The 27,548-nt window shown below is 44.9% G+C and overlaps 1 protein-coding gene across 14 annotated transcripts in view, besides 4 other annotated features; it reads right to left on the bottom strand.

The window, feature by feature from the left end:
• IFT81 (intraflagellar transport 81) overlaps positions 1 to 6,071 on the bottom strand; it is a 94,437-nt gene extending 88,366 nt beyond the window's left edge. For 7 of the 14 annotated variants that reach the window (NR_144952.2, NR_144949.2, XR_007063070.1 and 4 more), the window contains exons 1-4: positions 5,567 to 6,071; positions 2,904 to 3,068; positions 2,279 to 2,382; positions 1,298 to 1,478 (exon numbers count right to left, since the gene is read on the bottom strand). Coding sequence is in view for 5 of the 14 variants with exons in the window: in NM_014055.4 (NP_054774.2) it covers positions 1,298 to 1,478; positions 2,279 to 2,382; positions 2,904 to 3,047 (429 nt within the window). In the remaining 9 variants the exon portion in view is untranslated. Of the gene's footprint in view, positions 1 to 1,297; positions 1,479 to 2,278; positions 2,383 to 2,903; positions 3,069 to 4,380 lie in introns of all 14 variants that reach the window. The other 7 variants (NR_144951.2, NR_144950.2, XR_944523.4 and 4 more) reach the window with 2 other exon arrangements.
• Positions 5,988 to 6,257: a silencer, noted in NCBI's record as "silent region_4853". NCBI's record gives its function as "represses an Ori minimal core promoter by ATAC-STARR-seq in GM12878 lymphoblastoid cells {active_cell/tissue: GM12878}" and the evidence as "EXISTENCE:reporter gene assay evidence [ECO:0000049][PMID:35858748]".
• Positions 11,773 to 12,044: a transcriptional cis regulatory region, noted in NCBI's record as "candidate enhancer chr12.3595 targeted for multiplex CRISPR interference". NCBI's record gives its function as "positively regulates C12orf76 gene expression with high confidence in K562 cells {active_cell/tissue: K562}" and the evidence as "EXISTENCE:mutant phenotype evidence [ECO:0000015][PMID:30612741]".
• Positions 20,273 to 20,864: an enhancer, noted in NCBI's record as "H3K27ac-H3K4me1 hESC enhancer chr12:110547369-110547960 (GRCh37/hg19 assembly coordinates)". NCBI's record gives its function as "activates a minimal SCP1, AML or CMV promoter by ChIP-STARR-seq in primed H9 embryonic stem cells {active_cell/tissue: H9 hESC(primed)}" and the evidence as "EXISTENCE:reporter gene assay evidence [ECO:0000049][PMID:30033119]".
• Positions 20,865 to 21,456: an enhancer, noted in NCBI's record as "H3K27ac-H3K4me1 hESC enhancer chr12:110546777-110547368 (GRCh37/hg19 assembly coordinates)". NCBI's record gives its function as "activates a minimal SCP1, AML or CMV promoter by ChIP-STARR-seq in primed H9 embryonic stem cells {active_cell/tissue: H9 hESC(primed)}" and the evidence as "EXISTENCE:reporter gene assay evidence [ECO:0000049][PMID:30033119]".

Here is a 27,548-nt window from a genome sequence, read left to right as displayed (position 1 = left end):
ACTGCACTCCATCCAGCCTGGGCAACAGAGCAAGACTCTGTCTCGGAAAAAAAAAAAAAAAAGACTTAATCAACTTCCTCTAGATAAATTAATTTTTATCAGATTTATCGATGGTGGGAGCCTAGGAAGGAGAAAGTACACATTTACACTTCTCTATTTCCCACATTGTGTAAAATATTCAAAGGTAAGGACAGGTGGTCTCATTCTGCTGTGCTTCTCCCATGGCATCTACTGTGACATCTGACATAATTATTTGCATAAATACTGTCTTAAGAGATCAATATTGACTCTATTTTGAGTTACTGCCATGTCTACCCCAAATAGCAAAATATATGGATAAAAATAAAAATATTCAGTTGGTTACTGCGATTCAATCCAAATATTGAGCTAACATTAGAAGTGACTATACAAAATCTGGAAGAAAATAAAGATGGATAAGACATGGCACCTGTCTCTATGGGCCTCAGAATTTATTGGGAAAGACAGATTGACAAACTATTCACAACAATTTGGCACAAATCAGTCTATGTAAGTGCTATGGAATAAAAGTGTGAAACACTAAACAGAAGCACTTTTTAAAAAAAAAAAAAAATCAAAGTCCTTTTAAATCTGAGTCTAGTTTCTTTCTCTCCACAGTCTTTGACCAGCAATGTGCTTAGGGATCTCAGGATCAGAAGCCAGACCAGCCAGAATCCTCAGTACTCAAGAGCTTTAAGACCTTATGCCAGAGCCCAATGTTACTCCAAAACCTTGGCAAGAAAGGTGCACTGAGATTTCAAACTCCGGAATCTATCTCTACCCTTTGTCTGATTGGGAAGTGCTTTGAGACTGCAAGCCTAGGTTCTTTGCCTGCTTCTTTCCAGGACCTCACATGTCCCAATTTGCCTGGGATAGTGTCAATTTAAACCATTTGTCTTGGTGTTTAAATGTTATGATAGTCTGTTTCTCTCAAATTTGGATAAAAAACTATGTAGTCACCTTACTGATGAACAAAGTGCTGTGCAGACTTAACCCAGGATTCTATTTACCCACAATTGCTAAGTAATAAATTATTCTAAAATCTTAGTATCAGGTTTTTTTTTTTTCTATTCACATACTCCTATCACTAAAACAGTATTTGTGTGCAAAAGCCATTATCTTGAGATGTGGCCATAGTTGAACATTAGCTGATACAGTTTTATCTTCTTGTGCCACTTGGAACTACAAAGACAGCAAATAAAAAAAGAGTAACATGTATTTGAATATATACACCTTGAAATCCATTACAGTTTCAATGTACCATTTATGTATTGTTTACCTGTTTATTGGTGTCAGCCACAGTTTCATCCTGAAGAAACTCACTTGGTACCTCAAGTTTTATTAAAAAACGAGCTAAATATGCTCTTTTCTTCAGTTCATTAGTCCTCTGAAGAAGCCAGTGGAGCACTGGGTAAATTACAGGTTTACTTCCAATCACCAAACCCTGACGAAAAGTACTCCTAAGAGAGAAACACACATACACAAACACACACGCACTTAACGGTAAACTTTGAAGAGAGACAGCATTTTCTCAAAATCTGATTTACAATGTCCAAATTGCTTTCTGTAACTTTTTAAAAAAGATAAACCCAAGGAATCTTTTTTTTTTTTTTTTTTTTTTTTGAGACAGGGTCTCACTTTATTGCCCAGGCTTGAGCACAACGCAGCTCACCAAAGCCTTAACCTCCTGGCTCAGGTGAACCTCCCACCTTAGCCTCCCAAGTAGCTGGGACTAGAGGCACCAACCACCATGCCCAGCTGATTTTTTGTTGTTGTATTTTTTGTAGAGGCAGCGTTTCGCCATGTTGCCCTGGCTGGTCTCAAACTCCTGAGCTCAAGTGATCCTCTCACCTTGGCATCTCAAAGTGCTAGGATTACAGGTGTGAGCTACCATGCCTGGCCCCAAGGCTATTCTAAAGTCAGTCTGTACATTAGTTAGAAAATTAGAAAAATTTGGCCCTCAATATATCATTGGCATATCCAAGGAAGTTGTGTTTAAGCTGTTTTTATCTAGGATGGCAGATAAAGGATAAAATGGTATAGTGGATTTACCAGACAGTTTGATTAAGGCAAAGAACTGACCCTCTTAAGACTTCTGAGTTTGTTTATAGAAGGTTTAAGATTATTTTGAAACTCAGTGATGTTCTCAGGCCATCAAATGAGGGAAACCAGGTATTACCTACAAAGATTGATTGCAGTATATGAAGGTTTGGATATTAAAGCATAATTTTAAAAACTCAATACGTGATCAGATTCTTACATATCTGTGGCATTTCCTGAAGGTTTGTACTTAAGAATACCAAGAAGGCTCAACATTCGTTTGGCTGTCTGCTCTGGCATCTCCTCTCTGATATCCACAAGTTGCTAACAAAGAAATTGAAAAAAACATGTTATTGTTGTATATGTAACAAAGGACAATATTTAAACTCACTGACAAAATTGTTCTGCTAGAGCTTAACAGCACAATGGTCTCTTCATAAAACAGATTAAGGATGGAGGCCCCCAGATTCCAAGTGAGGGTACACCCAAGTCAGATCAAGATTCACATTAAGAATGTTAAGCTTCAAAAAAAGTATCCAGTGGAATGGACCAGTGTATGAGAGACATGAACTAACTTGCAATACAATAAAACCTTTTGTAAAAGAATTTTCATTCCCTAACCAAACCTATTTATGTCTGGAAGTGGATAAATAATTTTGAAATAAGGTACCAATAGATAATTTATTTTTGAGCTAGCAGAGAAATGTTATGCATTATTTACTATTACTTTACAGACATGGAAAATAAAGCTCAGAGAGGTTAAATAATGTGCCCAAGACTCACAGCTATTTAGAGGGAGAAATTGGCTTTCTGCTACCCATCAAAAAGAAAGAGAAAACTCTTACCTTTGGGTCAATCTCAGCCAGAACATCACTGAGAACTTGTAATAGTTGCATTGGCTCCAAGGAATCAAACGTGATTAAATTATAGTTCTTCCTAAAGGGCTCCTTATTGAGACTGTCCATAATGAATTTAATTTGATCACTCATAATTAGGTCTTATAATTTTAACTAAAGAGTAAAAATAGAAAAAAAAATCCTTAATACTGGCAACAAAAGTCCTGGGTAAAAACCAGAATTAAGTTCATACAACGTAGGCATGAAAAGTATAATTTTACATGGCATACAAAATGCTGTGAAAAGGGTTATTTTGTTGAAAGAAATCCAAGTATAATGGCTTTACTATGAAAACTGCAGTATATACTGTTAATTTTAACATCAAATGCTTTGTATATGCATCTGGTGTAACAGTAATCATCTGAGTTAATGTGGACAAATGAATAATAAATCCTCCCTACATTAACATCTCTCCCATACCGGTGCATAATTTCTACCCAGGAATTAAACATGCTCCTAAATTTTAGGAGCCTGACTGCAAGCCTAACAGATGTTTCTCCCAAATCTCCCAAAAAACATTGAGAGATTTTTTACTTTAAAATCTGTATTTCCAGTTTCTCTTGAAAATCAGATCTGGCAACCGTGGGCCCACATTTGTGCATGCCCACAACCAACTGCATCTGAGTAGAGGCTGCACACTTCAAGTACCCTTCTTCCATTTCTGTTATTGGTGTGGCCGGTAGGCATCCACTCTGCCTTCATTTCCTTTGGCCTTCAATGAGGCCACAGCCTCTTGTTCTCTGGTCTCCACCTCTCCCCATTCCAAATCATCTGTATGCTCCTTATTGCGCACAAAATACAGCTCAAACTTCTTGGATTTCCAGACTCTTTATGATCTGGCACAACTTATCCCTTTCCAACTTTATTTCCAAATTGTCATCTTTCTACCCCTTCAAACTTCAGCCTATTGAAACAGTCACTGCTCCTTAGTTTTTCTATCACTCTGCCTTTAGTTAATGTTGCTTTCTCTGCCTAAAATGACTGCGCACCCCTCCTTCATCTCAAGAGGCACAAACCCCCCCAACCATCTTTCAAGCCATGCCCACCAAACGCCAGCTCCCCCAGGAAACCTTTCTCAAGCTATCCTCCAGGTTCTGCAGCAGTGCCAACACCTGTCCTTCATAGCTGACCACACTTTATCTGTGCTTCTCTCCTAGCACTACTTTTGATCTTGTGCTTTTTTTTTTTTTTTTTTTGAGACGGAGTCTCGCTCTGTCGCCCAGGCTGGAGTGCAGTGGCGCGATCTTGGCTCACTGCAAGCTCCGCCTCCCAGGTTCAAGCCATTCTCCTCCCTCAGCCTCCCAAGTAGCTGGGACTACAGGCGCCTGCCAGCACGCCTGGCTAATTTTTTGTATTTTTAGTAGAGACGGGGTTTCACCGTGTTAGCCAGGATGGTCTGGATCTCCTGACCTCGTGATCCGCCCACCTTGGCCTCCCAAAGTGCTGGAATTACAGGCGTGAGCCACCGCGCCTGGCCGATCTTGTGCTAGTTCTTTAGGTACGCATCTTCTCTTCCCTGCTAAACTGTAAATTCCGTATCTGTGTCCAATTCCATTTTTGAACATCCATTGTGTCTAAAACAGTGATTCCTTCCACTAGATTGAATGAACTTGTTCACAGGCACAAGTACAACATAAGCCTAAATCTAAAGGAAATCAGGCTGGCAGTGAGAAAGATCATAACTTTTTAAAAAACTGAATATCTGATTTATTAACTGCTGAAACAGCTTTACCTAGGTAAATGCTTTAAGGATTAAAAATGAATTAAGCAATGAGTTGCTGCCGGGAGCTGTCGTTCTCTCCTGTAATCCCAGTACTTTGGGAGGCCGAGGCAGGCAGATCACTTGAGGTCAGGAGTTCGAGGCCAGCCTGGCCAACATGGTGAAACCCGGTCTCTACTAAAAATACAAAAATTAGCCAGGTGTGGTGGCGGGCGCCGGTAGTCCCAGCTACTTGGGAGGCTGAGGCAGGAGAATTGCTTGAACCCGGGAGGCGGAGGTTGCAGTGAGCCGAGATCGCGCCACTGCACTCCAGCCTGGGGGACAGAGAGAGACTCCGTCTCAACAGAAAAAATAAAATAAAAAAGATAATTTCTCCACAATGATGAAAAATTACGCACAAATAATTATTATTGCTAAGAAATAAGTCAAAAGAGGATAGGAAGGATAACCACCATGGCTTATAATAAATCTGAGGTTTCCTTTAAGCTATAAAAGGAAAACCTTTACGTAAGTTTTTTTTTAAAATCCATATTGGAAGTGCAAGTTTTCCATTGTTTAAAGTATTTTAAGTAAAAGTCCACGTCATAACCTTTGCGTGCAGAAATATGTATTTCATTTTAAATGATTTAGAAATTATCTATAGGTCTACTCTTTTTTCCCTTAAAAAAAAATCTGGATAAACTAGTACAACGTTTCCAGGAAGGCAAAATAAACCAGTTGGGTTCCCCCCAAGTCGCCCACCAGCCTGCAAAAATGGTCACTCGATAAGGACAAAGATGTACTGAACAGGAAGGCTGTCTGTGCCCAGCGGGCTCTGCGCTCTAAAATTAGCAAAAGCAATTACTGTCCCTCTTCTAGCGCGAAGTCGCCGCGCTAATTCCCAAGCACTCACCCACAAACGAGTCGCAGGAGGCGGGGAACAATGAAAACCAGGACGTGCGTGTTCTCTGGCACAATTTGGGAGAGAAACCGTGCTGCCTGGGTCCCAGGCTGGCACGAGCATCGACCCGCAGCCTCCTGGGAGTACCAGAAATAGTGTCCCCCTCCCCGGGCTCGGGACAGGGGACAGGGGACCCCACACCCGACCGGGCCTCTAGCGGGGGCTGCCCTGGGCCCCTCGACAGTTCATCCCTCCAGGGAGCGGCCTGGATCCGCTCGAATCCCAGAAGGGGCCCGATTCCCCTATCCGGGGGCTTAACCGCGACGACCCCTTCCACTTGCGAGGTGCTGCATCAGGACCGAGAGAGGACGGGAGCTCTCTCCTATTTCGGGGTTCAGAGGAGCTTCCGACCGCGAGTTGGCGAGGTTACCTCAAATTCTCCTCACGAAACCGTTTCCCCACCCCCCAGGAGGCGCCCGGGCTCTAGACCGCTCCCAGAGTCGAGCTCCTTGGCAACGGTTGCTAGGCCGTAGAGTTACGTCACTTCCGGGCGAGCGGCCGCTCTCCCGCGCGCGCGCGCACGAGCTGGGGGGCGGGGCCGGGCCAGGGCGGGGAGGACGGGCGCGGGGCGGAGCGGACGGGGCGGGGCGGGGCGGAGCGGACGGGACGGGGCGGGACGGGGCGGGGCGGACGGGGCGGACGGGAGCCGGGCTTACTTGCAAAGCGGGCCCACGTGCTGAGCCACTGCAGACAGCCGAGGGCATTTGGGACTGTTACTCCGACCTAGACGCGCTACAATAAGCTTCCCGAAAGTCCTGCACTTCGCAGTTTACAAAATACTCTCTGCATGATTAACCTATGTTAAATGCGTGTGATGTTTCATTCATTCATTCATTCATGCATGCATGCATGCATTCATGCGCCAAACGTGGGTGATGATTTTTGTTTGTTTTTGAGGCAGGGCTGGGTGGTAGGGGGGTTGGGATGAGCAAGCATTTGGCCAGTGCTTCAAATTTAGGTTTTTGACATAAGTATCTCCAAATTAGGTTATGCATAGGAACAATTGTAGTGAGGCTCTGGCAGGATTAAAAGAAGACACATTCATCATAGAGATTTCAGCTTCTGTGTCACATTACTGGGCCACATTGCCTGTACTGGGAATTAAATTTTTTTAAACCCAATACGTTTTGAGTATGCTGAGAGCCTGAAAGGGGGTGTGGGAGAACTAAGTGTCCTAATGTTCCTTTGGCTTCTGAGTGGGCTCTCTTTAGGTGACTGCAGAAATAAATTAAATCCTCCTTGTGGTCTTCATGGAGTTCACATCCCACGCAGGACGCAGGGAGATCTTTGTGCCCAGTCACTGATGAGGTTTAAAAGTCTACTGGAATTTGCACTAGCTGGTTTGTGGGAGACCTTAGTTGGCAAATGGTATTTTGAACCAACCTCTATTAGACTAGAGACCACGATACTTAGTGATATCAGCTGGCAATGAAAGAAAGAGAAGGAAAAAAAATCAAATTATTGATACCTTGAAAACTTAGTTGCCTGCTCAAACAGCATAGGAGAAACCAACTATAGCTTTAGCATCAGACTTACCACAACAAAAAATAACAGATTACGTATTAGGCATTTCCTATATGCCCTGTACTGTACAGGCTGCTGGAAATGCAGAAGGGCAGGACTTACCTGGCCCCTGCCCTGATGGAGCTGACAGTCTAGTGCCGGCAGAGATTATTAAAGGGGCAACACCAATACAATTGAGATAAATGCTGTAACAAGAGAAGCCAATGATTAGGAGCCCAGATTAAGGGCCTCAAGTTTATTTGGGGAGGGTGGTGCCAAAGGGGCCATACCATCAGGAAAGTTTCTGTCAAATGGAGTGATGTTTAAGGATCAGTAAAAATTAGGCCTGGCACCGTGGCTCACGCCTGTAATCTCAGCACTTTGAGAGACCAAGGCAACAAGATAACTTTGAGCCCAGGAGTTCAGGATCAGCCTGGGTAACAGAGCAAGACCCTTTCTCTACAAAAAATTAAAAGCAAAAATTGGTCAGGGGTGGCACCATTGCACTCCAGGCTGGGCAACAGAAGGAGACCCCCATCTCTTAAAAAGGATCAGTAAAAATTAGCCAAACAGGAAAAGGGAGAGTGTTTTGGGCAGAGGCAACACAACATTCCAAGACCAGTCCCTTTGTTGGCTGCCCTCTGACTGTTGAAATATCAAGCGTAGGTACCCTGCAGGGCTCCTGGAGAGAAACTAAAACTGGCCCCACCCCACAACCAATTAGGGGAAGCAACACTCAAAACCTCAAAGAATTAAATAACTTACATAATACTGACAGAAACAATACAAGATTTGTAGAAGGGATTATATAATTCATTGATCCTGTTGGGTGTGTTAGGAGACATCCCTGGCTACCTGGGTTTGAATTCTGCATCTGCCATTGTGTACCCTCTCTTTATCTTGCTAAACTTTCCTCATCTGTAAAACGTGGCTATAATAAAACCTTCCTCAATAGGGTTGACATGAGGATTAAGGGAGTTGATACAGGTAAAGTGATTACAACAGTGCCCAACATTGGGAGGCACTGAAGACATTTATGTTTTTTCTTTTTAAAAAAATGAGGCATGTACATGGTGGCTCATGCCTGTAATCTCAGCACTTTGGGAGGCTGAGGTGGGAGGACAGTCTTAGCCCAGGAGTTCAAGTCCAGCCTGAGCAACAGTGAGACCCCATCTTTAAAAAAAGAAAAGAAAAAAGAAAAAAAAAAGAAGTAAAAGAATTTTTTGAATAAAACTTTAAAAATAAGATGGTTTGCCAGACACAATGGCTCATGCCTGTAATCCCAGCACTTTGGGAGGCTGAGATGGGCCGATCACTTGAGGTCAGGAGTTCAAGACCAGCCTGGCCAACAAGGTGAAACCTCATCTCTATCAAAAATACAAAAATTAACTGGGTGCGGTGGTGCATGCCTGTAATCCCAGCTACGTGGGAGGCTGAGGCAGGAGAATCACTTGAACTTGGGAGGCAGAGGTTGCAGTGAGCGAAGATCACGCCATTGCACTCCAGCCTGGGCAACAGAGTGAGACTCTGTCTCAAAAAAAAAAAAAAAAAGAAAAGAAAAGAAAAAAGAAAAAGTAAAGAAAAGAAAAAAGAAAAAAAAAAGATGGTTAGATTTGCACCTTCTATAGGGTTTATGGGTATAGGCTATAGAAATCCTAGATAGGAGTGGTTTATCTAATAGCTTTTAGTTCCTCCTCTCTCTGTTGCCCCTGGTCTACAAACACTATACCTTTCAGTTATGAGACTGCAATCCTGTATAAATTCAAATAAGCAAGAGGATCCACTCTTTGGACTCAAACTTGAATAGATTTTATGCTTAATATGGTTGCTCTGGAACACGGGGAAGAACTTGAAGCCAGTCAGCATGCTTCCTGGAATCTGTATATTGAAAAATTTATGTTCCGACTTACAGTAAAAAAGAGAACTGCATATATTGGGTCCCCGAGGCCAAAGGAAGATTGGCTACCACCCCCTGATTCTGTGTGTGTGTGTGTGTGTGTGTGTGTGTGTGTGTGTGTGTGTGTGTGTGTTTGTGTTTGGAGATGGAGTCTCACTTTGTCACCCAGGCTGGAGTGCAATGGCGCAATCTCGGCTCACTGCAGCCTCCGCCTCCTGGGCTCAAGCAATTCTCCTGTCTCAGCCTCCCTAAAGTGCTGGGATTACAGGTGTGAGCCACCGCGCCCAGCCGCCTGATTCATTTAACATAAAACCTTGGGTGGATTCGTTGAAGAGTCTAAGAGGGAATTGTCAGCAACAATTTCACAACAACAGAGGCATTGCTGATCTCCTCCCAGCTGAGCTACCCGTGAAGCCTTTTTTTTTCCTCCTTAGATGCTATGTTGAGTCTTCTCTGTAAGCTCCCAACAATGCCTTTTGGCTGAACTATATTTGACATTTTTAATAGAGGGAGGGAAGTTCCAGCCATATGTGACAGCCTTTCTGAAAGCTTCCCACTCCTTCCTTACTCTCTTTTTGAAACAGCTCTATTAAGATATAATTCACATACATACAATTCACCCATTTAAAGTGTACAATTCAGGCTGGGCATGGTGGCTCACGCCTGTAATCCCAGCACTTTGGGAGGCTGAGGCGGGCAGATCACCTGAGGCCAGGAGTTCGAGACCACCCTGGCCAATATGCGGAAATCCCGTCTCTACTGAAAATACAAAAAAAAAAAAAAAAAAAAATTAGCCAGACATGGTGGTGGGCATCTGTAATCCCAGATACTCAAGAAGCTGAGACAGGAGAATCGCTTGAGCCCAGGAGGCAGAGGTTGCAGTGAGCCGAGATCACATCACTGCACTCAAGCCTGGGAAACAGAGTGAGACTCCGCCTCAAAAAAAAAAAAAAAAAAAAAAAGGTGTACAATTCAATGGCTTTTAGCATATTCACAAAGTTATGCAATCATCACCACTATCTAATCCCAGGACATTTTTATTACACCAAAAAGAAACCCTGTACCCTTCAGCCATCACCCTCACAATGAAAATCTCCCCACTTCACAGCCCCAGGCAACCACTAATTTATTTTCCATCTCTATGGACTGGCCTTTTCTGGACATTTCATATAAATGAAATCACACAAAATGTGATCTTTTGTGTCTGACTTCTTTTGCTTAGTATATAATGTTTTTAAGATTCATCCATGTAGTAACATGGATCAATACATCATTCCCGTTCCCGTTTTTGTTTTTTTGTTTGTTGTTGTTGTTGTTGTTGTTTTTTAAGGTGGAGTCTCCCTCTGTCTCCCAGGCTGGAGTGCGGTGGCATGATCTTGGCTCACTGCAACCACTGCCTCCTGGGTTCAAACCTCCCGAGTTCAAGCGATTCTCCTGCCTCAGCCTCCTGAGTAGCTGGGACTACAGGTGTGCGCCACCACGCCTGGCTAATTTTTTGTATTTTTAGTTGATACGGGGTTTTGCCATGTTGACCAGGCTGGTCTTGAACTCCTAGCTTCAAGTGATCCACCCACCTCAGCCTCCCGAAGTGCTGGGATTACAGGTGTGAGCCACCATGCCCAGCCCGTCATTCCCTTTTATTGCCAAATAATTCCATTCTATGGATAGACCACATTTTCTTTACGCATTTTCTATTCCTGAACATTTGAGTTGGTTCCACTTTTTTGCTACTATGAATAATCTGCTATGAACATTTGTATACACACTTTCGCCCCCTTATGAATAAGGATTCCATTGCCTAGGTCAGGTGACAGGGTATATACATCAGCAGGACGGGAGAGAGGATTCATTCTTACAGTGTCTCTTCCTTTCAACTTTTGTTAATTTTTGGCCTGTTGGGTACCCATGGTTGTAGATTACAGGACCCAAGATGTGGAGCCTTTAGTAGTTTTTGGTTATAACGGACCTGTTACTGAAACCTACTCATCCCTTGCTACCAAAGCACTAGAATTCCCAATCTGTTTCTCACCAGAAGCCATCTGATAAGAAGATGCTGCTTACATGGATGGGCTTCAAATGTTCACCATCTTCCACTGGAGGAGAGGGTGAGGCAAGGTGAGGAGGAGGTGAGAAAGACTTGAAGCTGCCCCTTCTTATCTCCTTATTTAACTGCGTAGATAATAAGGGGTATCCACAGTTTTGAACCTTTGGTCCGATTATTCAGAGGGGGAAAATTACTCCTGGTAAAGTGTATTTTTCAAGCCTCAGTTTAGTTATAAGATAAAAAATAAAGAGAAGAGGTTTTATCTCATGTAATTGTGAAGTTGTTCTGAGGTGAGCAGGCCTATGCAAACCTACCCCCAAGGTCTGAGGAAGCTGAGAAGTGAAAAAAAGAGGCTGACAATTCCAGCTTCTTAGAAAGAGACATTTAGGCTGGGCACAATGGCTCATGCCTGTAATCCCAGCACTTTAAGAGGCCAAGGCAGGAGGATCACTTGAGGTCAGCGGTTCGAGACCACCCTGGCCAACATGGTAAAACCCTGTCTCTACAAAAAAAATACAAAAATTAGCTGGGCGTGGTGGCAGGTGCCTGTAATCCCAGCTACTTGGGAGGCTGAGGCAGGAGAATCGCCTGAACCCAGGAGGCGGAGGTTGCAGTGAGCTGAGATCTTACTGCTGCATTCCAGCCTGGGTGAGAGAGTGAGATCCTGTCTCAAATAAAAAAAAAAAAAAAAGAAAAAGAAAAGAAAAAGAAAAAAAGTAGAACTTTTAATCCAATAGTTTCAGCAAATTTCCAGGGCTCACTCTCATTGGTCTGAAGTGTGTCAGACCCAAAGGAAGTGCTGGATCCTCTTATCAGAGATAGAGATGCTATGCAAACAAGACCAGTAGATCAGGGAAGACCAGGTGGTCAGGGAAGGCTGGTAAATCTGGAAAGCTGCATAAGAAAAACCGGAAGAGGAAGGAATGAGCCTGCACTCGTGGCAGAGAGCATCTGTATCAATGAGAACCTTCTCCCTGATTTCCTTCCACGAATTATCTTTCTTCAATGTGGTCTTCCACTGTGGGCCAAACAAGGTCTTGGGATAACCCAGCAGACCTCTCCGGATCCCCCACAAACATCTGAGGATGGCCATGAATATAATGTCTCCAATCCCTTCTCATTTCAGAACTTCCAAACAAGAACTTTCCTGTGCAGAGTACAGGGAAGCCAAGCCAATTTTCTGTTTTTGGTATTAAATTTAGACCTTTCATCCTGACCATGAGATATTTCTGGATTCTGCACGAGTATTCAGCGAGTGCCAGGATTCAAGATGCTATCCCATCTGGGGCTATTCTGCAGGCTGCCCACTTTATCTCATTCTTTTAAAACTGGGAAAAATGACCCAGACGCAGAAACAAATTCAGAAGAGGGTTATTCTGTTATCCATTAATTGTCATTTAATGCCTTTGCCATCCAGGTTACTTGGAGAGGAAAGAAATTAAATTTGAACGGAAACCTGAATTGCATTTTGCAGATATCCTAAATTGTCTCTGTTCTGACAATTTAATCTTGTGGGTATGTTTAGTAGCAGAATGTGCTTTCTTAAAAGGTAAAAAGATAAATAATATGTGAAATACTCAACTTAAATGGATGAGATTCCAGAGGTCTTCTTAAATGTGTGCCTGGTACTATATTTTTCTCAGATGGCTTTTATAAAATGGGTTTTGTATTTATAAATGTGCTATGGTTCACAAAGGCTGGAAATTGCTGATGAGATTAATGGGCAATGTAGAATAGCCAAAATAATACGCAATTCATATTAACTCCTTAGTCATCAGTATGGATTGAAATATAGGATGCATCTAACTTTTTTTTTTCAGTGACACGATGTCACTCTGTCACCCACGCTGGAATGCAGTGGCGTGATCATAACTCACTGCAGCCTGTACCTCCCGGCCTCAGCCTCCCGAAAAGTTGGGACTACAGGTGGCGCCACCATATCCAGCTAATTTTTTTTTTTTTTTTTTTTTTTTTTTTTTAGAGATGAGGTCTCACTATGTTGCTCAGGCTGGTCTCAAACTCCTGACCTCAAGTGAGCCGCCCACCTTGGCCTCCCAAAGTGCTGAGATTACAGGTGTGAGCCACCGTGCCTAGCCAGGATGCACCTAACATTCTTAGTGGGCTGAAATTATCATTATATCATCACTTATTGAGTGCTTACTATATGTCAGGAACTTTGCTAAATACTTCAAATATGTGTCAGAATTTATTCAAATTTTAATTTATGTGTGTACCCCTTCTGTTTCCCATCCTCTTGAAAGAATTTTTATTGTCTTGACTTCTGCAGGTTGAAAATCCAGCTGTACTTTGCCCAGTACATCTGTACTTCCTACAGACCCTGTAGGCGTGTGAAGAATTGAAGTGTTTAGGGGAAATTGTACTGGTTGTCCTCAGGCGGGGAGTGGAGAGGGGGGTTCCTTCAAGGGTAAGGTGGGGCCAGGTGCGGAGGTCGAGGCCTATAATTTCAGCACTTTGGGAGACCAAGGTGGGAGGATCACTTGAGTCCAAGGGTTCGAGACCAGCCTGGGCAACATAGTGAGACCCTTATCTCTATAAAAAATAAAAAGTTAGCCAGGCGTGGTGGCGTGCACCTATAGTCTCAGCTACTGGGGAGGCTGAGGCTGGAGGATGTCTTGAGCCTAGGAAGTTGCGGCTGCAGTGAGCCAGGATTGTGCCACTGCACTTCAGCCTGGGCAACAGAGGGAGACCCTGTCTCAAAACAACACAAAACAGAACAAAACAAAATGAGACAAAACAAGAGTAAGAAGAGAAAAGACAGATGTTATGGAGAGTGGGAAGGGTCACAAGTTGATAAGTCCAGAGCAGCTTCTGGGAAGGGAGAAATACCCTAAGGAGGCCACACCACAAGTCCAGTGCCTTCCAGTCTGACCAAAGCTTTCTTTGTCTCAGGCCTGACATGGAAGGATCAATGCTATTGGACCTGAAAGGACCTGTAGCCTGGGAGGATGGGTGACCAAGCAGTCACTAGGGTGGGCCACTGACAGAAGACTGCAGGTGTTGCCCAAAGCTACATCACTGCAAAAGAGCCCCGGGACTTGGTATCCCCTAGGATGTGTGTTGGGGGAGGGGGGATGCTCAAAACAAGATTACATTTCTCTCCAACCTAGCAGAATGGGGGCTCAGAATTGGATTTCAGTTGGTTATAAAACAATGTCCTTCCTCCTGCAAATCTGAGTCGTGGACTAAAACTGATAACTTCTGTATTAGTTAGCATCCTGGCAGGATAAAGATGGCAAACTCTGGGCAATTGAGGATAGCTTAATAAAGGGCTATTTATAAAGGTGTGGACAGCATTTAGGGCAACCAAGAGACCAGCACCAAAGGCAGCCATTGCTGCCCCTAAGCCTGAAGCAGGAAGAGAAGAGGACAAACACAAAAAGCCTGACAGATCAGCCCTACAGAGACAGTTGCCTAACAAGAGCCTCTGACGCAGCCAGTCCCAATCCCACTGTCCTATCCTCTGATCTCTTCTTGCTTGGCTCCTCACTAGCTAAACCCAACAGAGAGCCAAAGGGAAAGGGAGCTCCCCTGAGGTCATCCATGCAGATGCGCCTCCCTGGACAAAGAGGGGGAGGAAGATGGCAACAGTGGGGCTGGGCGCGGTGGCTCACATCTGTAATCCCAGAACTTTGGGATGCTGAGGTGGGCAGATCACTTGAGGTAAGGAGTTCAAAACCAGCCTGGCCAACGTGGTGAAACCCTGTTTCTACTAAAATACAAAAATTAGCTGGGTGTGGTGGTATGTGCCTGTAATCCCAGCTACTTGGGAGGCTGAGGCATGAAAATCGCTTGAGCCCAGGAGATGGAGGTTGCAATGAGCCAAGATTGCACCACTGCACTCCAGCCTGGGTGACAGAGTGAGACTCTGTCTCAAAAAAAATTTTTTTTTAATTTAATCCACAGCAATGTGGATCCGGAGGGGCAGACTGACTTTATAGATAAAATTACACAATCAAAATGATGGGCAGTCAGGCCTTGTGGGGTCAGTGAATCCAGCCCCATGTCTTCCAAGCTGCACTTCTCTCTTCTAGCTGAAGTTCCAGGCATTATGTGAGTTAGGCCTAATTTCATTTCGGCACACTGCCTGCACCTACATAATCTCATTTAATCTTCACAACAAGTCTGCAAGGACAGTTTTTTGTTTTTCTTTTTTTAGACAGTCTAACTTTGTCACCCAGGCTGGAGTGCAGTGGTGTGATCATGGCTCACTGCAGCCTCAACCTCCTGGGCTCAAGAGATCCTCCTGCCTCAGCCTCCTGAGTAGCTGGGACTACAAGCGAGAACCACCATGCCTGGCTAATTTTTGCATTTTTCTTTAGAGACAGGGTCTCACTACATTGCCCAAGCTGGTCTTGAACTCCTGGGCTCAAGCAATTCTCCCGCCTTGGCCTCCCAAGAGGCTGGGATTATAGGCGTGAGCCACCACACCCAGCCACAGTATTATTTTTTTCCACTTTATGATTAAGGAAATTGAGACCTAGAGAGTTAACAGAGGCCCAAGGTCGCAGAGCTGGTAGCTGGCTGAGCCAAGATTCAAACATAGGTCTGCCTGATTCCAAAGCCATTTTCATCAGCCTCCTAAACTGGCTCCAAACTGGCCCAGCAGAGACCGAAAGAACCATAAATCAGGCTGCTGAGGTGGGAGGCACAGGGATTTTCTGTGTGGGAGGGACCACATCAACACAGTGCCTGGACTTCTGTGCCTACAAGGGCTTTGCCAAGGAAGCTCTTCTCACACCCAGGTATAGCTAATGGTTTGAAATCCAAGCGCTTATCCCAAAATCAAAGAGGGGGAAGATGGAGAGAAAACACTTGGCCAATGCTGGGAAAAAAAGTGTATTTTCATTTCAGATGCCTTTCAAGTTTCTTTTTTTCCCAGCTGAATGTTTGGTGTATTTATAGAGTTCAGGGGGAGTATTTAAGGGTAACCGGCAGTGGAGCTGCATTTTGGGCTATCAGGAAGCTGAGAATCATGCAGGAGAAGTTTGGTGGAAGCGGACAAGAGCAGCAGGGCACAAACTGGCTTTGTCTTTCATGTTGCCAAGACCACCTCATCCTCCTGGGGCTGATGACGTCAAATCGAGGTCTATGAGAGTGCTACAGATGAAATGATCGACTCAAAATGATGGGCAAATGGGTGAATGAATAAGCAAACTGTGGTATATACATACAGTAGAATATTATTCAGCCATAAAAAGAAATGAAGTACTGGTCCATGCTATAGCATATATGAACCTCAAAAACATGGTGCTGAGCAAAACAAGCCAAATGCAAAAGGCCACCCGTTGTATGACTCCTGTTATATGAAATACTCAGAATAGGCAAATCCCTAGAGACAGAATGTGGACTGGTGGTTGCCAGGGGCCAGGCAGAGGGGAGAATGCAAAGCAAGTGCTTAATCGGTACAGAATTTCCTTTTGAGGCCGGGCACAGTGGCTCACGCCTGTAATCCCAGCATTTTGGGAGGCCAAGGTGGGCAGATCACTTGAGGTCAGGAGTTCAAGACCAACCTGGCCAACATGGCAAAACCCTGTCTCTACTAAAAGTACAAAAAAATAGCCAGGTGCGGTGGTGCAGGCCCATAATCCCAGCTACGTGGGAGGCTGAGGCAGAAGAATCGCTTGAACCCAGGAGGTGGAGGTTACAGTGAGCCCAGATCGCACTACTGCACTCCAGCCTGGGTGACAGAGCAACACTCTGTCTCAAAAAAAAAAAAAAAAAAAAAAAAAAAAAAGCATTTCCTTTTGAGGTGATGAAAATGTTCTGGAAATAGACAGAGGTGGTTGTACGATATATGTTAATGTACTAATTACCATGGAATTGTTCCTTTTAAAATGGTTGGTTTTATGTTATGTGACTCTCATCTCAATTATATTTTTTTTTTTGGAAAAAAAAATTCCCTTCCTTCCCGTCCCTCCCTTCCTTCCTTCCTCTCTCTCTTTCCTCCCTTTTCTTTCCTTCTTTCTTTCTTTCTTTTTTTTTTTTTTTTTTTTTTGAGACAGGGTCTCGTCCAAGCTGGAGTGCAGTGGCATGATCATGGCTCACTGCAGCCTCGACCTCCTGGACTCAAGTGATCCTCCTCAACCTCCTGAGTAGCTGAGACTACACCCACCACCATGCCCAGCTAATTTTTAATTTTTTGTAGAAACATGGTCCCGCTACGTTGCCCAGGCTAGTCTCAAACTCTTGGGCTCAAATGATCCTCCTGCCTTGGCCTCCCAAAGCTCTGGGATTATAGGCATGGGACACCATGCCCAGCCAGCAAGGTCTTTTCTGTTCCTCTTACTTAAAGTAACCAACCCACCAGTCACCCTCCATCACTGTGCTCTTCAGACTGTTGGTCATGGCCTATTAGAGGGAATGGAAATCAATTTAGTGGATCTCAATTAACATTTTAAAAAATGAAATGAAATAAAACAGAAAATATCACACAAGGATAAGGGTAAATATTACTGTGTCAGAAATTTTTTTACTTTTTTTTTTTTTTTTTGAGACGGAGTTTCCCTCTGTGGCCCAGGCTGGAGTGCAGTGGTGCAATCTCAGATCACTGCAGCCTCCACCTCCCTGGTTCAGCGAGTCTCCTGCCTCAACCTCCCGAGTAGCTGGGATTACAGGCACGAGCCACCATGCCCAGCTAACTTTTTTGTATTTTTAGTAGAGATGGGGGTTTCGCCATGTTGTCCAGGCTGGTCTGGAACTCTTGACTTCAAATGATCTGCCTGCCTCGGCCTCCTAAAATGCTGGGATTACAGGCATGAGCCACCACGCCCAGCCTATTTTTTGCTTCTTAATAAACCACTCCAAATTTATTGATATGCAACCGTTTTTTCCCACAAGTCTGTGGGTTAGCTGGGCTCAGCTGGGCGGTTCTGCTCCATGTGGTATCTGCTGGGATCACTCATACGGCTGAATCCAGCTGGAGGTCCGTGTGGGGCTAGAACATCCAAGGTGGCATCCCTCTTGGATCTGGATGTTAGTGTTGGTGGCCACTTCTTCACATGGAAGCTCTCCTTCTCTTGTGGCCTCTCATCATTCAGTTGTCTGACCTGAGCTTCCTTTCATGGTTCTGGGTACAAAGAGCACAAAAGTGGAAGCTGCCAGTCCCCTTAAGGCTGAAGCCCAGAAAAGGCACAAAGTTGTTTCCGCTGCATCCTATTGCCCAAAGCAAATCACAAGAGCCACCCAGATTTAAGGGAAGGGAGAGGCTGGGTGTGGTGGCTCATGCCTATAGTCCCAGTACCTTGGGAAGCTGAGGCAGGAGGACAGCTTGAGCCCAGGAGTTTGAACTCAACATAGTGAGACCCCAACTCTACAAAAAAATGAAAAAATCAGCTGGCGTGGTGCTGCATGCCTGTAGTCCTACCTACTCGGGAGGCTGAGGCAGGAGTGTTACCAAAACACCAGGGGTTCAGACTAGGTCCTGCTGCTTGCCACACAGAAAGCCAATCACTGACAGGACAAGTATTGCCAAGGAAGAAGGCTTTAATTGGGTGCTGCAGCTGAAGTGATGGGAGCTGAGTCTCAAATCCAACTCCCTGGTCTACTAAAATTAGGAGTTTATATAGTGGGGAAGAAATGTAACAACATGCGGGAAAACAAGAACTAGGGAAGGGCAGGAAGTCATCTGATGCCCTGATCTGGTGAGTTTCAGTGCTTCAGTACTTGTTTTTGAGAGGCCTGAAGGTCCTCAGATAAAACAAATACAGCTTTAATAGCAGAAGGGTCAATGTCTATGTTTATCCAAAAGAACAGTGTATGGGAGTGTTGGGCCAGTTTCAGGAGGATCACTTGAGCCTAGGAGTTCAAGGCTTCAATGAGTTTGATCATACCACTGCACTCCAGCCTGAGTGACTGAGACTCTGTCTCTAAAACAAACAAATAACAAAAACAGGGAAGGGGAAGCTGGCTCCACCTCTTTTTTTTTTTTTTTTTTTTTTTTTGTAGAGATGGAGGTTCACTATGTTACCCAGGTGGGTATCAAACTCCTGGCCTCAAGCAATCCTCCAGCCTTGGCCTCCCGCTCGGTTTATAGGTGTGAGCCTCTGCACTGGGTCTTGACTCCACTTCTTTTTCTTTTTCTTTCTGAGATGGAGTCTTGCTCTGTCAGCCAGGCTGGAGTACAGTAGTGCAATGTCAGCTCACTGCAACTTTACCTCCCAGGTTCAAGAGATTCTCCTGCCTCAGCCTCCCAGGTAGCTGGGATTACAAGCATGTGCCACCACACCTGGCTAATTTTTGTATTTTTAGTAGAGACAGGGCTTTCACCATGTTGGCCAGGCTGGTCTCAAATTCCTAACCTCAAGTAATCCACCCTCCTCAGCCTCCCAAAGTGCTGGGATTATAGGCATGAGCCACCACGCCCAGCCTTAACTCCGCCTCTTGATGGGGGAGCAACATGTGCATTCTATGAATGGGAGAAGTTGTTGGCAGATGTTGGTGCAGACAGTCCACCACAGTTGTTTTTTCCCTTTTAATAAACATGCATGTGTGCGCATTGGTTCACATGATAAACATATCTCTTGCTGTGAGTCAAAGTCAAAAGGCTGGAAAAACACACTTCTATATCCTTTAAAAAATTTATTTCAGCCGAGGGCGGTGGCTCACGCCTGTAATCCCAGCACTTTGGGAGGCCAAGGCATGCGGATCACCTGAGGTTGGGAGTTCAAGACCACCCTGACCAACATGGAGAAACCCCGTCTCTACTAAAAATACAAAATTAGCCGGGTGTGGTGGCACATGCCTGTAATCCCAGCTGCTCGGGAGGCTGAGGCAGGAGAATTGCTTGAACCCAGGAGGCGGAGGTTGCAGTGAGCCAGAGATCACGCCATTACACTCCAGCCTGGGCAACAAGAGTGAAACTCTGTTTCAAAAAAAAAAATTTCTTTCATAGCCCTTAGTACTCTCTGACCTTAGCTTATTTTATTATAGATCTCTGCCATTCAAATGTAAGTTCCCTGAGGGCAGGGGCCTTGTCTGTCCTATTAGTCCTGTGTCCTCAGCACCTAATAGGGTCTGGCTGTTAAGAGGTGCTTAATAAATATCTGTAGTCATTGAGTAGGGTGTTGTTGAATCAGCTCTTATTTCTTGGGTGCTGAGCACTTAAAACATTATCTCATTTAATTTACTCAACATATATTTGAGCACCTACTGTGTGCCAGGCACTATTTGAGGTGATGGTGAAACAACAGGAAACAAAATAGACAATAATACCTGCCCTCAGTGAGTGTATTTTCACCATATAGTAGAGAACAGATTCACTGATACTATTTTGACAAAGAAGGAAACTGAGAGTCAGAGACGTCAGGCAACTTGCCCAAGGTCACACAGCTGTTAATTTCACCCTGACACCTGGCTCTTCTCCACTCTCCTGTAGATGTTGAATTTTGCCCAGAGATGGGCTTAGGTGGTTATGGATCTCAATTTCTGCAATTGTTTCCCTGAAGGACCAAACTTGTCTTTCTAGGAGTCAGACACAGGGCAGTGGGAACAGGTGAGTCCCATGACCTCAGAGTCCCTGCCCCTCCCACCCTTAGTTCCCCGACTCTGTGACAATGGCTCACACCTGGGGTGTTGCAGATTTGAGCCACAGATCCCAGTCACCCCCACTGTCTTATCGGCATGTGACATTCCCAAGTGGCTGGGGCGTGCAGGCTGGGCAAAGAATGCAGCCTGAACAAAAATAAACCTGTTACATTCCTTGGCAGCCCCCTGCCCCTTCCTGCTCTCCAGCCATCCATCCTCACAGCAGAGTCTGCCAGGGAAGGCAGAGAGAGGGCGAACAGGGTGGAGGAAGTCAGTGTTGCTACCCGGAGAGAGGGAGAGGAAAAGAGAGAGAGAGAGAGAGAGAGAGAGAGGAGAGGAGAGGGAAGAGAAAGAGAGAGAGAGAGATCACCTTATATGGGAACGTGTGCAGACAATATGTGGCAATGGCTTAAAGGGCAGCAGAGGTCAGATACCAGACAGATGGAAGAAATTAAACATGGGACAGAGCTTGTCCCTGAGCCCTGAAAACAGCTCTTGTTTCACAGCAAGTTCGCACAAAGCCTGGCCCATTTTCCTTTTTTGCCTAAGCCCTGCAAGATGTGTGTCCTAACCTCTCCGTGACTCTGAGTCAGGCCTCTCGACTCCGATTCTGTGGCTTGGCAGCGGTCTCAATCCTTTAAGGTCATTTATTTGACGAACAAAATTCCTCGTTGCAAATAAAAAGGAAAAGGCCAGGCCTATTTCTCAAGAGTTTCCAATATCTCTCCAAAGCACACAGATTAGTAGTTAATGAGTAAATAATCCTTCATTTCTCATGCATTCATTCAACAAAGATTGAGGACCTGTTACGCCTCAGGCACTGAGCCAGGGGCTGGAAAGATGGCAATGGTGACGATGATGATGACAATTAGCATTTGTTGATTTGCACTCATTTGATAAATATTTCAACAATTAATAATTTACTTTGCGCCTTTTATGATCCAGTCATTGATGATACAGAACATTGATCTACATCATCTGGTTCCTGCCCTTGTGGAGTTTACAAGGAAGGCGAGGGATATTGAACACATGATCCCATTGAGTCCTCACAATAGTTCTTTGAGTTAGTTTACTATTATCATCCCCATTTAACACAGAGTTTTCCAACCTCTGCACTATGGATATTTTGGGCTGGATAATCTTTGTCTTGGAGGGGCTGCTCTGTGCATTGTAGGATATTTAGCAGTGTCCCTGGCCTTCTACCCAACTAGGTGCCAGCTGCAACCATTCCCCTCCCCCTAGTTGTGACAACCAAAAAAATCTCCAGACATTGCAAACTGTCCCGGAGGAAACAAAATTGTTCCCAGTTAAGAATCACTGATTCCACGGATGAGGAAATAGAGGGTCAGGGCGGGCTAAGACATTTCCTAAAGGTCATACCGCTGGTGGGTAGGACTCACACCCTGGTCTACCCAAAGCCCATGGTCCTTACCACTGCAATGTGAAACTGTATTTCCTTGACAACAGATGATTTTGAGTTTGGATGGTTGTAGACTTCATTATCTCATCCTACAAAATGGAAGTTATCTGTGTTAATTTGGATCCTCTGGGAAGCAGATGCCAGGACAGGCTCAGACTTGCAGGGGATTTATCAAGGGAATCCCTGTGAAAGATAAAGGGCGGACGTCTTCAGACTGGGATACTGGGCTAACACCTGGGGAAAGAGACGGGGAAGGAAAGAGTGAGTAGGAGGAGCTGCAGACAGCAATGCGGGTCTCAGAAAGTTTTGGCTGGACTGATGAGGGCTTCCTGAACAAAGTCACTGGTAGGATGAATCTCAGGTCAGCAGCAGTGGGGCTGTGCTACCACCCCCGCTGTGCTGTCATTGGCTAGGAGCCATCTGAGGAAATATGGCCTTGGCGTGAACTTGGTGGATCCAGAGGAATGGGAATGAGGACTGTGAGTCAACTGTGCTCTCCGTGCAGACTCTCTTTTTTTTTAAGACAAGGTCTCACTCTGTCACTCAGGCTGGAATGCAGTGCCATGATCACAGCTCACTGCAGCCTCAACCTCCTGGGTTCAAGTGATTCTCATGCCTCAGCCTCCTGAGTAGCTGGGACCACAGACGCATGCCGCCACGCCTGGCTAATTTTTGTATTTTTTAGTAGAGCCAGGGTTTCATCATGTTGGCCAGGCTGGTCTCGATCTCCTGACCTTAAGTGATCCTCAAGTGATTTCAGCCTCCCAAAGTGCTGGGATTATAGTCATGAGCCACTGCACCCGGCCGTGCAGACTCTCTAGAGGGAGATGCAAGCCGTGCACTACATGGCTGTGACATCATCAAAGTGGTGCCCATTGGTTACATTCACCTTAAGGCAAGGAGACTAAAAAGTGGTGCACTTTTTAGGAGACTACCAGTGGTGCAGTGGGGAACAAAGCCAGGTTGGCCTTCTTTAAGCAAAAGTGTTCATTTTCCTTGCATTGTCTTGAGCTTCTTAGTGATCTTCAAAGTCAGCTCTGACTTGAGTTCCATCAGTGAGGAAGTAAAGAGCACAGACTTGAAGGGCTACCGGTTAGCTGGTTGGCCTTGGTTTCCCCATTTGCATGATGGAGTTAACCTGCCCTAACTCACAGGGTTGATGTGAGGATTTAATGTATAGGAAAGTTTATGGAATTGCTACACATTTGTTTTCAGAAGAGGATGTGAACCCTCTGCCTTGTTTCTTGTTTTTTGTAAGGACATCTCCCTGCCAGCAACCCTCTCATTCTCCCAAGATCCATCTCTGCACCTACACAGGGGACCACAAACTAGCTAAATTAGATAGATAAGCTGTACTTTGCTCATAGAGTATTTTTAAAAAAGAACCAACGTTTAAAATTGAGGCATTTTTGGGAGGCCAAGGCAGGCAGATCACCTGAGGTCAGGAGTTCAAGATCAGCCTGGCCAACATGGTGAAACCCTGTCTCTGGCCAGGCGCAGTGGTTCACGCCTGTAATCCCAGCACTTTGGGAGGCCGGGGTGGGTGGATCACCTGAGGTCAGGAGTTCGAGACCAGCCTGAACAATATGGTGAAACTTCATCTCTTCTAAAATTATAAAAATTAGCAGGGCATGGTGGTATGTGCCTGTAGTCCCAGCTACTTGGGTGGCTGAGGCAGGAAAATCACTTGAACCTGGGAGGTGGAGGTTGCAGTGAGCCGAGATTGTGCCATTGCATTCTAGCCTGGGCGACAGAGAGAGACTCTATCTCAAAAAATAATAATAAAATAAAATAAATAAATAAAATTGAGGCATTTTACATAAAAATCTGGATTTCCAGGCTGCCTTGAAAAATTACTTTTTCCACTTTCTGGTTTGAGACCCTGTGGTAGACTCACAGCCTAGTGTGGACTCGTGGTGGGGTTCAGGAGATTTCCGTGCTTCTCAAACTCCGAACTCCGTATTGCTTGGCGTCCCACGGGAGTTGAATGAGGGGCTGGGACCAGTGTAGATTCCAGTGGGTAGAGGAGCAAAAGCTCTGCCACTGTGTAGGAAGGGTCGGGAAGGGCCAGCCTAACTGCTTAATAAATCAGAGTGGATGGGGGAGGAAACTGACTGGCAGTCTGGAGGTCTGGCTTCTGGGTTCAGATCTTTAGGCTTCATTTCTGAATATGTGAAATGAACGCAGCTGGACATAGATCTAAAGATGTCTGTGATTGCAAATTTCTGTGAACTGATGAAAGGAATGCAGATTTCAGTAACAACAGTTTTGATATGCAATGTAAAAATTGCAGTACCCTGAGAAATGTTGAGAACTTTTGATTTGGTAATACTACTTCTAAGAATAAACCTGAGGAAGTAATATTTAAATTATATACATCTGTGATCTCCAAGCTCACTGCAGCAATTACAGAAAAAATTCTCCAAGAACCATGATGGCAAAAGCTAAGAAAATGGCTAAATAAACACAGTTAACTTCATGAAAAGAATATTTTAAAACTATATTTATGTTAATAAGGGAGCCATATTCCTTTATTATATTAATGTGTTAAGTCAAAAAAATGTTAAATCTGGCCAGGTGTGGTAGCTCACACCTGTAATCCTTGTACTTTGGGAGGCCAAGGCAGGCGGATCACTTGAGGTCAGGAGTTCGAGCCCAGACTGGCCAATATGGTGAAACCCCATCTCTACCAAAAACACAAAAAAATTAGCCAGGTGTGGTGGCGTGTGCCTGTGGTCCCAGCTACTTGGGAGGCTGAGGCAGGAGAATCGCTTGAACCCAGGAGGCAGAGGTTGCAGTGAGGTGAGATCATGGCACTGCACTCCAGCCTGGGCAACAGAGGAAGATTCTGCCTCAAAAAGAAAAAAAAAGGAAAATTTTAAGAAAATACTCAAACATTAAAAGATATTTCCCACTTTTCTATTAAAAAAAAGAAAGAAAAGAAAAATTAGCAAATCTGGCCATACTGTGTGGCATAGATTGGCTGGAGCTGAGGAAGCCTGCTTGCTTACAATGGGACATGCACTGTCCAGTCTGCCACAGTCCCCACCACTCCCTGTTGTCTCTGATCCTAAAGCCAGTGTCAGTTGATGGTGATCATCACGTTTGTGCTGCCATTTTTCTTACAGTAATACTCCTTTGTCTCACAAATGTATCAAAGAGAAAAGGAAAGAGTAGACCAGAAAGGCCCCTGAACTTCCTTATACCTGCCACCACTTCACAGGCTTCCATCACCACCTGGTTGCTACAGCATCTGAGTTTACCTTGGAGCCCGCCATCCTTTTAAGCTCATCTGAAACCTCTTTCCTAAAATTATCCCTGCCATTTATAAGAACTCCTTGCATTTATATTTCCCTTCACGTTCACAAAGCACTGCCAGCCACAGGAGGTCATTCAATTCTTCCAGCCACCCAAGAGGAACGTATTATTTCCTTCATTCTAGAGAATTGAATCTGGAAGATGAAGTGATTTTACCCAAGGACACAGCTGGTTAATGTCAGAGCAAAGTCCTTCTTGCCTCTGAGTCCATTTTTTCCATTACTCTAGCAAACAGTATGTCTGAACTTTCAGTTGCAAAAGACAGAAAGTTAACTGAAACTGGCTTAAGCCAAAAAAGGCAATTGATTCGATTACGTAACTGGAAATCCGTAGAAGCCATGGACTTCAATACAACTGGCTGGAGAAGCTCCAAGGTTTCCCTCAGGGTGGTCACACTTCCTCCATCTCTCAGCTATTCCCTTTACCGTGTTGGCTTTATTTCCCAGTATCCTCTCTCTGCTCCTGATAGAAAAGCAGCCACCAGCAGCTCCAGGCTTCATCCTTATAGCTCCAAATCCAATGGAGAGAGAGTTTCCCTTTCTAGGCAGGCCCCACAGATGGAACAGAGTCTCCTTGGTCTTGATTGGCCTGATCTAGTCATGTGCCCAGCTGTGAGCCAATCACTGGTGGGAGGGATTGACCAGAGTTGGGTCATGTGACCACCTGGAACCGAGGGGTAGGGTTAGCTGCACCCAAGCAGGAGCTGAGGGCTGATGGTGGGGAAGGAATGACTCCTCCAAAGGAAAGCCAGGTGCTCTTCTCAGAAGTGGGGAATGAGGCCGGAACGGTACCTCACGCCTTTAATCCCAGCACTTTCGGAGGCCGAAGTGGGCGGGTCACCTGAGGTCAGGAGTTCAAGACCAGCCTGGCCAATATGGTGAAACCCCGTCTCTACTAAAAATTCAAAAATTAGCCGGGCCTGGTGGCGCGCGCCTTCCCAGCTACTCGGGAGGCTGAGGCACGAGAATCACTTGAACCCCAGAGGTGGAGGTTGCAGTAAAACGAGATCTCACCACTGCACTCAAGCCTGGGTGACAGAGCGAGACTCCATCTTAAAAAAAAAAAAAGAAAAAGAAAAAGGAAAAAAAAAGAAGTGAGGAATGAATGCTGAATAAGTCAAAGAACCAGATATCTACAATACCTGCAATCTTCCTGGTGCAGGCCCTTCTGCTCTGTGGAAGCCATCCTTATTCCCTCTTTCTCCATTCAGGTTGCCCAAGTCAAGTCTCCCACATCTAACTGCTCTGAACTCCAGTGAACTTGTTCTTCTGGGTACTCTCAGTGCAGTGAGAATCTGAACCGCACACACCAGCACTCAGCTCTATAGCTGTGGACTGAATGAAAGAATGAGGAGATAATTTGTGTGAATTGTGATAATTAGAAAACAGTACCAAATTTGAAAGGAAACAAAATGTTAGTGTGGTTCTCTCTGAGTGGTAGGAGTATGAGCGATTCTGGCTTTGTTTCCGTATTCCTTTCTGTATTTTCTACCATGAAGAAACACTATAAACGATAATAGCAAAAAGGAAGTAATGCCAGTCTGGCTTAAACAGCTGGCCTATAAGCAATGTGAGGGCAAGGGCCAAGTGTTGATTCTGTGCTATTCCTAACTCCCAGCAGCAGGGCACACGGTGTCAGAGCTCCTTAGAGCCTGCTGGGAGCTAAATTCACAGCATCAGGGCTTCAGAGACTTTTGGTCCCCTTCCCAAAAGCCAGCCCCCGCCAAGTTCTTCTTTCAAATTCTCTGAACCTCAATTTTGTGTGGTGTCCTCCCTCCTCCTTGTAGTTATGTGCTTCATGGAGGGCAGATACCAGCCCCAAGCCCTGCAGTAGAGAAAGAATCCTCTAGTGAATCGGTCTATGCCAGGGTTTCTCACCTTCCAACACTGCTGACATTTTAGGCCAGGTAAGGCCAGGCGCAGTGGCTCACGCAAGGATTCCCAGCACTTTGGAAGGCCAAGGTGAAAGGATTGCTTGAAGCCAGGAGTTCAAGACCAGCCTGGGCAACATAGCGAGACCCCTGTCTCACAAAAAATCTAATCTCATCAAATTTTCTGCTTCCACTGGGCCTCGTTCATTTCTCAAGCTCTGTTTACAAATATGTCATCTCTGGTTTTATAAGACAGTGACAGTAATAAAGACAGCTACCCCCAAAACACAATTTTAAATAGGATATTGGTTCAACAACTTTATAAAAGGAAAGACTGGG

Source organism: Homo sapiens, chromosome 12 (genome assembly GCF_000001405.40).
Source record: "Homo sapiens chromosome 12, GRCh38.p14 Primary Assembly".
NCBI lineage: Eukaryota > Metazoa > Chordata > Mammalia > Primates > Hominidae > Homo > Homo sapiens.
Note: the sequence above shows the minus strand (reverse complement) of the source record. Positions and strands in the feature narration are given on the sequence as shown.